General features: G+C 39.2%; 2 protein-coding genes across 13 annotated transcripts in view; both read right to left on the bottom strand.

Annotated features, from left to right (window-relative positions):
- IQCJ-SCHIP1 (IQCJ-SCHIP1 readthrough) overlaps window positions 1–13,145 on the bottom strand; it is an 828,041-nt gene that overhangs the window by 146,604 nt on the left and 668,292 nt on the right. The window lies entirely within an intron of this gene.
- The window catches only part of SCHIP1 (schwannomin interacting protein 1), a 624,116-nt gene that overhangs the window by 146,604 nt on the left and 464,367 nt on the right, over window positions 1–13,145 (bottom strand). For 2 of the 9 annotated variants that reach the window (NM_001394284.1, NM_001394290.1), the window contains exon 2: window positions 12,855–12,969. The exons of 5 other annotated variants lie outside the window; for them this stretch is intronic. The gene's annotated coding sequence lies outside the window, so the exon portion shown is untranslated. Of the gene's footprint in view, window positions 1–12,854; window positions 13,020–13,145 lie in introns of all 9 variants that reach the window. 2 more of the 9 variants (NM_001394291.1, NM_001394286.1) reach the window with 2 other exon arrangements.

Genomic DNA, 13,145 nt, shown 5'->3' with positions numbered 1-13,145 from the left:
ACTGCCCCATCACCAAATGTGGTTAATGCTGGTAGTGTTTCAAGCAGATCCCTGTTCCTGGCTGCTGTATACACCCAACCCTACCCCCAGCTGCTGTGAGTGTTTAGCTGTGAAGGACACACAGGTGTCCTTTATGGTGAAATTTATTCCTCTATTTTCATCAGGCCAAGGATAGACTATCTGATTCCACATCCTACCTGGCATTTCCTCCCTGTCTATCCTACTTCTCTCACTTTCTCACAAGTTTATCGCTCAATAAAGCATCAGCACCCAAATCCCCATCTCAGGATCTGCTTGTAGGGGACCTGATGTAAGACACCAAGTCCTAATGATTCCACCTTCTAAATATATTTGGCTATACCCCTACTATGTACCCACAAAAATTAAAACTGAAAAGCAAACATATAAATTATATATGTGCATATATATGTATACGTGTGTGTGTGTGTGTGTGTGTGTATATATATATATATATATATATATATATATATACACACACACATACACACCTATATATATTTGGCTTTTTGACCAGTGCATCTGCTTGGACAAAGGGTATTGAAGTAATCTTATAACTTTATTCTACTCTATGAATAAACTTCTAAATTTAGTATATGATGTCAATACTGTTTATGAATATAAGGAAATAGTTTCAGTGAAGTGATGCCCCAATGATCTGATAAACAAGAACTCCCATAAGGATAACAAAGAACTTAGAAGAGGTTTAGTTTTCAACTGATATTACTATATAGAATTATTGCTAGTATTACTAGTACTAGTGAGTGGAAACCACTGTATATCCAATATTATCAATTTTGCTAATTGTTACTGATTATGTTTTAAAATTACACTAATAACTAATAGCCTATAAATAATCTTCTAAGACCTTTCCACTTTATTATACTATAATACGTTCATTGATGCTTAATAGGATGTGAATGTTTGCTGACTCCAAAGAATACCTTTATTAGAATATGCATATGTGTTCAATTTATCTTTTCAATTACACCTACATTAAAACCTTCAAAATTAAGTTTGCAAAAACAGGCTATGTGCAAGCTGCGGAGCCTCTATGACTTGTGACCTTCTGCTCTATTGCATTCTGGTTAATGATTCACAATAACCTTCAAGAATAAGCACCGAGTAAATCAAGGGGTTCTGCATGGCTCTCCAGGAATGTTGCACACAATGCCCAGCAACCTAAAGCGCGACCTAGTGCAAGATGGGAGCTGGGAGCATGATGAACACAAATCCACAGCAATGGCCAAGGAGATGGTGTTTCCCAATGGAAACCTCACAGCTTTCCTCAACTCCCTCTAAAATGGTTCTCTCTTCACTTTTCTTATTTTGGAAGTAGGAAATTAGCTGCTGTTGCTTCTTCTTTTTTTTTTTTTAAATTCTCTTTCGAGATGGGGGTCTCACTTTGCTCACTGTTGCCCAGGCTGAGTGCAGTGGCACAAGCTCAGCTCACTGCAGCCTTGACCTTCTTGGGCTCAGGTGATCCTCCCACCTCAGCTGCCCTTGGCCTCCCAACTCCCCGCTACCCCACCAGTAGCTGGGACTACAGTTGCATACATTTCCTCTCCCCCAGTAACTGGGACTACAGTAGTGCACCACCACACCCGGCTAACTTTTTGTATTTTTTTTATGGAGATGGGGTTTTATCATGTTGCTAAGGCTGGTCTTGAACTCCTGAGTTCAAGCAATCTGTCCACCTCAGCCTCCCAAAGTGCTGGGATTATAGGCGAAAGACACCGTACCCAGCTGCTTCTTGTACTTTCCCAGTAAAACACATTTTGTTTCAAGTTATTCTTAATCATTTTCATTGGTAACTATTGTAAAAAATAAAGTAGACCATTCTTTGGTTTCATAATCACTGAACTGTTTAGTGTTTGGTTACCCATTTTTAGTAACTAGATTATCCAGCAACAGAGACTAAAATGCTCTTTTTGCCTTCTTTACTTCTTGGAGAACAGGGTCAAAACAGAAACCTCTGAGTATCTTGTTATTTAAATAGGGGCAAGTCCAGATTATTCCAATACTTGAAATGAGTCTATTACCTAGGAATTCCTTTTGACTCTCATAAAATGACTTTGGTGAGTTACAGCCACATTCTTCATCCTGAGCATTAGTATAATTGCCCAAACGTTGCTCCCATGCTTGGTAGCCCAGGTAGGAGCTGGGCACAGTGAAGGAGGGTGGCAGGGGTTGGCATGAGCTGGCACATGGGGCCAAAGGGCAATATCTGGGCCTAGGCAGTTAGGCCAAGTCATTATCATGTTGGTACACCTCCATAATTTTGCCATATTATACTCCATCTCTACTTCTTATATAATTCTTTTCTTTGAATCAACTCATTTTTAAATTAAATTTATTCAAAAGGGAAACTTTACATTAGTACTATCAATGAAATATAAATATCACTTGCTAACGTAGAAGAGTTACGTTACACAGTAAACACATATACTGTGATTCATCAATTTTGAGACACACTTTAAAAAATAATTTTGATATCTCTGAAATTGGGGTGGAACTTACAATCAATGGCATCTAGCAATTATAATTGGCAACATTTCTCTTGTTCTTAGTGGCATATAAAATAATGTGCTTTACACATAAATGGCATATTAGATTTGATGAGACAAACTATAAAAATGATGTTATTAAACTTTTAAAAACAAAAGGTAAAAATAGTAAACAAAAAATGGAACAAATAAAATGGACATAAAATGTATGGCTGAAGATGTTTCTTATTAGAAGGATGAAACTTTATGATCAAAATAGTTGGATATTCTACTTGATAGTTTCAGACAAAGTTGAGGATCCACTTTAATGAGACAAATCTGTCCATTTTTATATTAACCTACATTAAAAATCTGAACTTGCATGGGGATGTGGTTGGAAAGCTCAAAAGATATTTGACTATTTTATGTGTTATAATTTAGTATACACATATATATTCTGCAACTTCAGGCAGTGACATTTCAACATATCACTGAATAAAACACACAGATGCCTGTGGAATTCAGTGTATGGGAGTCTTGCCCTGTTAGTGGTCCTGGCTGTCTATGCTTCTCATGGCCATGAGTACTGAACCCGTGGTCATACCCATGAAAAGCATAGACAGCCAGGATCACTAATAGAGCTTGGAACATCTGTGAATATACTTGGGCACGTCGTCCCTGCTTTATGAAGTTAGGGTAAGGTTGATTACCTTGGCCCTACCTATATTTGTCTCATCCTAAACAACATTCTGCATGAAATCACAGGTCTTATGTGCTAAGTTTTCGCCCAAATATAAATGAATGTAAATACAAGTCTGCCAAAAGACATTTATCTGAGTATCACTTAAAAATTACCCTCTCCTACACTCTGGGAAACATTTGTCTAGATAAAGCATTAAATAGGAAGGACTCACAGAGACAAGGAAGATTGGGTTATGTAGCTGGAGCCAGATGCATCAGGTGGGTTAAGGAGAGGAGTTTAGAGGAAAAGACTGGAGGAGCTTCTCAGATCCAAGACTGTTGGCCCAGACTTCTAGAGAAGTCCCTTGGTAGGGAGGTGCTACTTTAAGGAGATGACATAGTATTCATTTATCCATTTCTCTATTCATGCAGTTACTGTTTCATCCAAATATCTACTATGTGCCAGGTACTGGGTTGGATATCTGGGGAGAGAGAGCTGAAAGAGGTCAAAGAGTTCATGGCCCATAAAGGAAACAAAAAGTACTCACAGTTAACAGTTGGGTTTCAAAGTATTAGGGTGGGCATAGTAAAAGAGTGCTATGGAAAAGGTATTGGAGAGGTGTTTAACTCAATGTGGACAGCTCAAAGAAGCCTTCCCAAAGGAATCATACTTGAATTGGGTCTTGAGGTATAATCAAAAGTTGCTGAAGTTCCCCAAAGGCTGAAAGACAGAAGGATATTCCAATTTGGGGGAACAGTATGGTCAAAAGCTTGGAGATGTAAGAAACCATGGTCCATCTCCCGCAAGTGAAGGCAGTTTGGTATAGAATAGCTGGAAAGAGAGTGAATATTGCAGGATATAGGGAAAGAGGCTGGAAATGGTAGGAAAAGCAAGAGTGGATGTGAAGAATATTAAACTTTGCTTTCAACCTGAAATTGATAAAGACATCTGAAGGATTTTAAGACAGAAATCTCTGGATTATATGTGTTTTGTGTGTTGACTGATGTTGAAAAAAAACTAAATTTTATATCAAAACATAACCTAAAGGCCTTAGCCAGAGTGCCAGACAGTCAGCAGTATAGATCTGCACCATTTATAAAATGATTTAGAGTCTAATCAAGGAGTAGTGGTGACTGGAAGGGAGTGAGAGTGCAGATCATTAGTGTTGTGGATATAAAGCACTAGATAAGCCACACATCAGGACAATGTACTCTCCCACGTGAGAACTAGAGTTTTAAAAGAAAGGAAGAGAAAAAGCAAGTGCTAAACTTCTCAGTGAATGAAAAGAAATGGCTGGACCACTGATAAATGACAAGACAATGATAGGATGAGGTAGAGAAGGATGGAGGAATTCCCCTTCTGTAAATCTTAAGGGAAGAATTCATAGGGCCAATTTTATATCTATAATTCTATATTTTTTGCTTTTCTAAAAATAATTTTTCATTATGGAAACAGTCCAAGCATTTACGTAATTGTATAGTACAATGAACCCCATGTTCCTATAACCTCACTCTAGAGACTATCACCCCATGGCAATCTTATTTCACCTATTTGCTCATTGTAATTACCCCCACAGCCCAAGTCCCAGATATCATATCATTTTAAGACAGTGGTCTTTATTCTTCTCAGCCCAAACCTGTATCAGAGTCATAGGATATGATAAACCTTGCACTGTGACTAATTAGACAAACACCAAAAATTAACAAATATAGAGGCAAAATCTACTCTCTAATAAAGAGAAATAAAAACTAAGACATTAACATGACTGTGAGTCATTTGGAGAAGAGGATAAAATAGGATGATTTCTAAATAATAGTAATCTACTAAACAAGGTCACTAGGAAAATCCTACAACATGAATTAAACTAATAAGGTTAGATACATGAGCAGGGAATTAAAGGAAATTCAATTTTAAAATGTGTAAACTAAAGCATCAATGACATAAGCTATGAAATAAACTATTAGACTGCAGTGAAAAACCTGAAAGCAGAAAGAGACTTGGGCTGAGGGTGGAATGGGAAAGCAAATGAAGTGCAAGTTAGAATATGGCCTAACACATTTAAAAGAGATTCCAATTACTTCCTCCATTTGGTGATTATTACTAGGCATCTGCCATAGTAGGACACTGTCTGGGCTCTGGAATTTTTAGTAAACCATCTCTCCCGCTTAAAGAAGAGGCAACACTCTACCTGGGAGCAGGCAGGGGCATTTACCTGACTCTGCCTGAGTCTTATCCAGATTCTTTATTAAACACCCGGCTCCTTGAGAAATGGAGGCAACTGGAAGAGGTTCAAAGAAGTGGAACAGAAGATAATTAGAGGAAGATATTGATTTTAGCAGAAAGATCAAAGGAACCAAATGCAGGGAACTTGGCTAAGCAAGAGCTCAGGAAAAATGAGCTATTTGAGGCATGTAAACAGTGAAGTAAATAAGAAATATGGAGCTGGTGCACAGAGTGTAATGAACAGGCCTGTTATAGACATACACATAGGGAAAGGCAGGCTGAGGGCAGGACAAGCTGCTCACCTGGCACAGGATTGCACAGCAGTCCCACTGAACACTTTCTTCTTCTTCTTCTTTTTTTTTTTTGAGACGGAGTCTTGCTCTGTCGCCCAGGCTGGAGTGCAGTGGCGCAATCTCGGCTCACTGCAAGCTCCGCCTGGGTTCACACCATTCTCCTGCCTCAGCCTCCCGAGTAGCTGGGACTACAGGCGCCTGCCACCACGCCCAGCTAATTTTTTTGTATTATTTTTTTTTAGTAGAGGTGAGGTTTCACCGTGTTAGCCAGGATGGTCTCGATCTCCTGACCTCGTGATCCACCCGCCTCGGCCTCCCAAAGTGCTGGGATTATAGGCGTGAGCCAACACGCCTGGCCCCATTGAACACTTTCTGATGTTCAACAGGCTTCTGTCCAATGGTTACCATGAACACCAAGCTATTAGAATGCCAGCTTCCAGAGAGGTAGGCATCATTTTTAACCTTTCAACTTTGGACAGGAAAATGTGCTAAATCAGTACTGCTTTGGCAGGCAAGATAGGCAGGGGGAAAAGTATTTCTCTGAAATGTAATTTATAGATAAGTTCTAGTGCTCCTCACTCCTACAGAATTTTTTCTAGTCAGCAAAATTTTTACCAGTGAAGGCAGACAGAGAGAGAGAAAGAAAGAGATTGATTCTGTCTGTACTGGTTTTAATGGGTTATATTTTAAATTTTTGCCTAAGGTCTTATTGACCTCATTTTGGCAACATTTTAAAGTTTTTTGATCAGTTTCTTTCAGACACTGGGTCTTTATGTTTTAGGGAGAGTTAAAATTTATCTTTTTATTTTTAAATATACATACAAAGCAAAATATAAAAACATGTAGGTGTAGTTTAAAGAATAATGTTTAAATGAATGTCTGCATTTCTCACCTCTCCACTTTAAGTCAGAATATTTTGTTTGGTACCTTTGAGGCCTTCTGGGTGTTTCACCTTGATGACATTTCCTTTTCTACCTCTTCCCTCTTAGTACTATCCTAAAATTCACCTTAATTCCTTGCTTTTCCTCATAGTTTTACTATACAGTACAGTATATATACTGTTTAAAAATTTGGGGGGTGCTTCTTCTTTTGAGACTGTGAGTTAGGGGTTCATCTATGTTCATTTAACTAGTTATTTTTTAAATTAAACTTTTAATTTTGATATTACTGTGCATTCATATGCAGTTTTAAGAAATAATATAGAGAAAAATCCCTTGTGCCCTTTACCCATTTTCCTACCAATGGTAACATCTTGCAAAACCACAGTACAGTATCAAACCAGGGTACTGACATCGACACAGTCAAGATATAAGACATTCTCTTCACAGCAAGGACCCATTATGTTGCCGTTCATGGTCACACCAGTTCTCTTCTGCCCCCATTCTCTAAGTACTAATCCGTTCTCCAGCTCTTTACAACTTGATTCAAACTAATGAGTTTAAGTATATGAGCAGGAAATAAAAGGAAATTCAATTTTAAAATGTGTAAACTCAAGTAACCATTAATCTGTTCTCTAACTCTGTAATTTTGCCATTTCAAGCATATTATATAAATGGAATCATACAGTATGTAACATTTTGGGATTATTTTCTTCACTGATTATCATTCTCTGGAGATTCATCCAGGTTGTTGTTAAGTATCAATAGCTCATTCCTCTTTGTTGCTGACTAGTATTCCATGGTATGGATGTACCACAGTTTGTTGTACTGTTCACCCACTCAAGAACATGGGTGTTGTTTCCAGATTTTGGCAGGCTCTTTATTTTTTAAAACATAGAGATATTTTTAATGTGTATGGATATTTTTAATGTCTTAATGTTCTGTTTCTAATCCAGACTCAGAAAAACCAACTAAAATGACAAACACTAGAGCAACTACCCTTTAGGGAAAGATTAAGAATCCATTCAGCCTAGGAGAGATGAAGGCTCATAAGGAATTGATTGAAGCCTAAAGGCAGGAGAATATTAGCTTGTTCTTCATCTTTTACAGTTACAGCAGTTAGAAAGAAGATAGTCAGTTTTAGGAGGAATGCACTTGAATTCACTAGTCCTCTAAAGAGTGTATCCAAGGCCCGGCGTGGTGGCTCATACCCGTAATCCCAGCACTTTGGGAGGCCGAGGTGTGTGGATCACCTGAGGTCAGGAGTTTGAGACCAGGCTGGCCAACATGGCAAAACCCCATCTCTACTAAAAATCCAAAAAAAAAAAAAAAAAAAAAAAATTAGCTAGGCGTGGTGGCAGGCACCTGTAATCCCAGCTACTTGGAAGGCTGAGGCAGGAAAATTGCTTGAACCCGGGAGGTGGAGGTTGCAGTGAGCTGAGATCGGACCATTGCACTCCAGCCTGGGTGATGGAGCGAGACTCTGTCTCAAAAAAAAAAGAAAAAGAAAAAAAAGAGTGTATCCAAAATGAATCAGAATAAGGTTTATTATTGCCATTAACCCCATACTTATACCGTGGTCTCATGGTTGTCCCTTCCCTCACTACCAGGACAGCATGAAGAAGAGTCCAAAGGACTTGCTTCTGTATACAGTGGGCAAAAAAAATAAAAATAAGTGAGTTCCTAACACTTGCTACTTGAGTTGCAAACAGAGCTCAGAAGAATGGATGGACGAGCCTTATATGGCACATCACAATGATGAAGTTAGAGGCATTTGTTATTCCTTGCTTCATGGACAATATTTTGAAGAAATCCCCAGGGGATACCACTGGAGATTCCACACTTTTGGGGGCAGTGTCTTCTTGTCCCGGTCCTGCGATAACTCCCAGTGGCAGCATTTGCTCAGCCCTAGCACAGGAAGAAGCGCAATCAACTGCATTTCTTTTTTTTTGAGACGGAGTCTCACTCTGTTGCCAAGCTGGAGTGCAGTGGCACAATCTCGGCTCACTGCAGCCTCTCTCTCCTGGGTTCACACTCTTCTCCTGCCTCAGCCTCCCGAGTAGCTGGGGCTACAGGCGCCCGCCACCACACCCGGCTAATTTTTTGTATTTTTAGATGGGGTTTCACCATGTTGGCCAAGCTGGTCTTGAACTCCTGATCTCAAGTGATCCGCCCACCTCAGCCTCTCCAAGAGCTGGGATTAAGGTGTGACCCACCGTGCCCAGCCTCCTTTTTCTTTTTGACTCTTTTTCTGAGGCTGGAATCCCTCATGCACAGTGCTCCCTGATTAGTCTAAGACTGATCAAATATTTGGCCACTACCCAAAAGTTCTGACACTGCACCCTATCTCAGTCCCCTCAAATCCATACTCCTGGAACCAGACCTTGTTTGGGGTTGCCACCTCTGCTGCCCTCTGGGTTTCCACCCTTGTTCTCAGCACCACACCAGCAAGACTTTGCCATTTTTGGTAACTTGGCTGGACAGGCCAGAAGTTTGATCCCATATGGCCTTTTCTATGTTCTTTAGCAATTCTAATGAGGCCTTGATGGTTACATATTTTAAATAAATTAAAGGATCAAAGCTTATGAAGAAAAGGTGAAGGCAGCTTTAAACTTTTTGATTTGCTGTTTTCTTTATTCTGGGAAGAGCTTAAATAGGCATGCAGTTTGAGAGTAAGGAATCTAGAAATGTCTACTCAGCAATTTTATACTAGCTCTTTATAAATATAAGACATTCCATAAAAGCTAGGTAAAACTCTAGTATTTCTAAAATTCCATGAAACTGGTGCATGTCAGTGGAGACACGGGGTATTAGAAACTGTGATGTCTGAAAATTACTGCTATAATATCTGAAATCCCTCTTTCCTCTCTCTCCTTTTTTTAATTTTAAGGAGTCCAGAATCTTACGGCCAGAATATATGGTTTTAAGCAAAGCTTGCTCTTGAGCTTTGAATTAGCTTGGGCTCATTCTTCTCTATTTTTATATTCACATTATCCATTCATTCAACAATAAACATTTATTGAACATCTAATGAGTGTCTGGTACTCTCCAGACACTGGAGATTCAAAGAAAAAGCCATGATACCAATACCTCTCTTCAGGGAGCTTAAGAGCTAGTGGAGGGAGAGGGATATTCAAAGAAAAAAGGAAATACAGTGTTGGGAAAGGGGAGTTGGGTGAGGTGGATGACTTGGTTTGGTCTGCAAGAGGCTTTAGGGGAGTGTCGAAGAGCTTGAGCCAACTTATAAATCCACTCAGAGCACATCAGGGTCTGAAAAAACTTGATTCAGCTCCTTATTTCTGAAGCCCAGGAAGGTGACCTAGTTCAAATGTGCATACCTAATTAATAGCTAAGATAGGATATCTTAATGCAAAGCATTTGGTCTTTTTTTTTTTTTTTTTTTTCTTTTTTTTTGAATATACAATTCTGGTTTCCTTCCTTTTTTGGCTACACAATGAAGTGGCCTGTCTCTCTTAGGGGCATACCTGTGGCCCAGAGATGAAGGCAGAGATTCATTTTTATAGTAAAATAAGACCACTTGCTTTTTTAATTCTTGGAATCTTGACTTATGTAGCTTGTGTGATGGATTTAAATTAAAGAAGATTTCATTGGATTTTTTGGGGGCAGGGGGCTGACTCTATCTCCTTTCTGTCTCTCTTCTCCAGTTTCATCCAGAAACTGGAAGACAGGCTGTGGGTTGGCAAGCACCTGCTTTCCTCAGCTTAGTTGGAAGCTGTGGTGTGTTGTTCCACCTGCCCAGCATCCATTCTCCAGTGTTCCTTAGGTGACTCCCCAACTCTCCTCTCAGGACACAACAACCTTTTGGGGAAGACCTCATCCTGATTGCAGAGGCACCTACCACTCAGTGGAACCATTCACCAGTGTGGGTATGGCCTGCAGCCAGCTCCTCCCCACTCTTTTCTCGCCACCCACTTCAGCTCAGCCTGGGGACAGGATGCTCCTCCCCTCAAATGAGAATTGAGTTGTTCTCCAAGTGAACTGACAAGTTTCCACATTGCTGCTTTGTGAATCTCTGCATTTGCAGAGACACACTGAGGTCAGTCTGGGGGCCACTTGCTGTGGAGGTGCAGAAAGAAGAGTTGGCTATGAGGAGAGACGAGATGACAACAGTAAGAATTTTCTGAAGTCTTGGAAGCTGAGTTGCCTTTGTCAGGGAGGAGCCAATGCACCTGGAAAGTATTTGTGAGGCTTTAATGCCTAAGTAACATTTGTACTGAAATGCCTGAATCTCTGCAAGAGATTTTGATGTTCAATGTTACTCTTTCAACAGAATAAATGTAGACTTGGTCGCAGTTGTTCATGTAATTAGGCACCGGTTTAGTAAAATGATTTATGTAGGCTAATTCATATTGACCCTCAGAGAAAAAAATCACATATTGTTATTCAAGAAGCACAAGTAATTTTGTCTCTTTTTACAAACCCAAATCAAATAGATTACCTTTCTGAGCAATGAACAACTTGAAATGCAGATAGATATGCAAGGTTAAAGAGCAAGAAGATAAGGACTTGCATTTGAAAGAGCAAGGTCTTCTGTAATTTGGTGCCACAAAATTCTCTTAAATGAATGTAGAGGAAACCAGAGGATTCTGAAACTGAAAAAAATCTCTCAAGGAAAAAGAAAAAGATAGAATAGAGGTTTCATGGGAAACAGCATTTTATATGTTATTTAGCAGCCTTCTTCTTGAAGGAAAAACACTTCTCAAAACCTTCACCAATACTCCTCTTGTCTAGGCCACCGTCATCTCTGTTGTGGACACTGAAAAAGCTTCCTATTGAATGTTCCTCTTTCACCTTTGTCCCTTACAATTTACTCTCCACTCAGTAGCCAAAGTGATCTTTGAGAGATTGTCTTTTAAAGCTTGCAACTCTCCAATAGCTTCCCACTGTACTTAGGATAAAAATCAAACTTCTTAGCCTGGCTTTAAAGGCTCTTTAGGATTTCTCAATACAGACATTTTTTCCAGGACAATATGAGCAAGACAAATCTTGTGTGAGTCTATCAAGAGCAGTGCAAGATGTTTATCATCCCCGGTCCCTGTCCACTAGAAGCCAATGGTGTCCTGCCCTCAACTCTAGCATTGTATATGCAAATTGCCACCTGCACATCTTCAAACATCTTCTAGGCAGAAATAGAGAGGTTGCAGCACCCCCAGCTGAAACCCCTACTAGCCTACTCAATCTGGCTCCTATGGACTTTGAACCTCAGGATCTTTGCATTGCCTATTTTCTCTGCCTAGAATGCTCCATTCCCAGACCGACCCATGTTTGGCTTCTTTTCCATATTCGATCTTACCTCCTCAGTCAGGCCTTCCCTGACCACCTAAAAAAGAGCAAAACACACGCACACTTGTGCACACAAATACACACAGTTTCTCTCTCTCACTGAACACGCTTTATCACTATATACAATTTCCTTGTTTACTCATTTATTGTCTCTCTCTCTCCTCTCTGGAATGTAAGTTCCATGAGAACAATATATTTTGTTTGTTGTTATACCCCCATTGCCTGGGGATACATTTTTGTAAATATTTGTTGATCAAATAAAATAGATGCCATTAAGTTATATGTCATTTAATCACATTTATAATAAATGTTAGGATGCAGCAGAAAAACATTATTTAATTCATTGTTCATATAAAGCACTAAGACGCTAAAAATAACAAGTCCCACAGTGAATATTAACATGGAGAGAGGAACTAAACTAGAAATGTCATTACCTTCTTACTAAGTCATGCTGGATTATTTCAATATAAGGCAATCCATTAGATAGGTCACATTGAAAGACATAATATGCAAAGACTATAATTAACATAACTCTTTTGTCCCAGCCACTTTAGAGCAACATGCTTATGTTGGTTACTACTATCTATATACCAGTTGCATTTCTTTATTTTTTTTTTTTGTAATTTAAAGAAAAAATTTATTGAAGATCTGAAAAACAATTTCTAAAAGATTGACTTTTCCAGAAAAATACCTACAAAATGCATTGTGTCAATCATGTTAAAACATGCATTAGACACAAATACAAAAACCATAAATATTTCATTTCACTTTATAGTTTATTACACCTTCTCAAATATAGGCTCAAAAACTTAACTTTACCTTCCAGAGAAAGGAAGAGACAAGGAAATAAATTTATTGTTTCCTCTGGAACAAACTTAAATACATGTCTTTCAACTGATTCTAGGTCCTAACAAAATTGATCAATGAACAAGGCAAAGCATCATGTGGGGACAGCAAATACAACACATACCCATTGCCGCTCTCCACTCCCGCACCCGTGCAGTGTAGCTTAGCAGTTCTAGAGCTCTCTCCCACCGAGCACCCATCCCACCTGGGACTCCTCAATCCAGTGCTCCAGGCAGCTGCTGCCAATGAATTGGAGTTGACAGACAAGTTAAAAATCTATTTGCCAGCCCTGGAATCATGGAAAGAGTAAACACTTTTCACATAAATCTGAGTTTGATATCTTTTCTTTATCACTTGTGAGATCTTGGTTACTTAACCTCTTTCTGTTTAATGATACCAAATTTGTAGTTGAAAT

The sequence above is a fragment of the Homo sapiens genome, chromosome 3 (assembly GCF_000001405.40).
Source record: "Homo sapiens chromosome 3, GRCh38.p14 Primary Assembly".
Classification (NCBI taxonomy): domain Eukaryota; kingdom Metazoa; phylum Chordata; class Mammalia; order Primates; family Hominidae; genus Homo; species Homo sapiens.
Note: the sequence above shows the minus strand (reverse complement) of the source record. Positions and strands in the feature narration are given on the sequence as shown.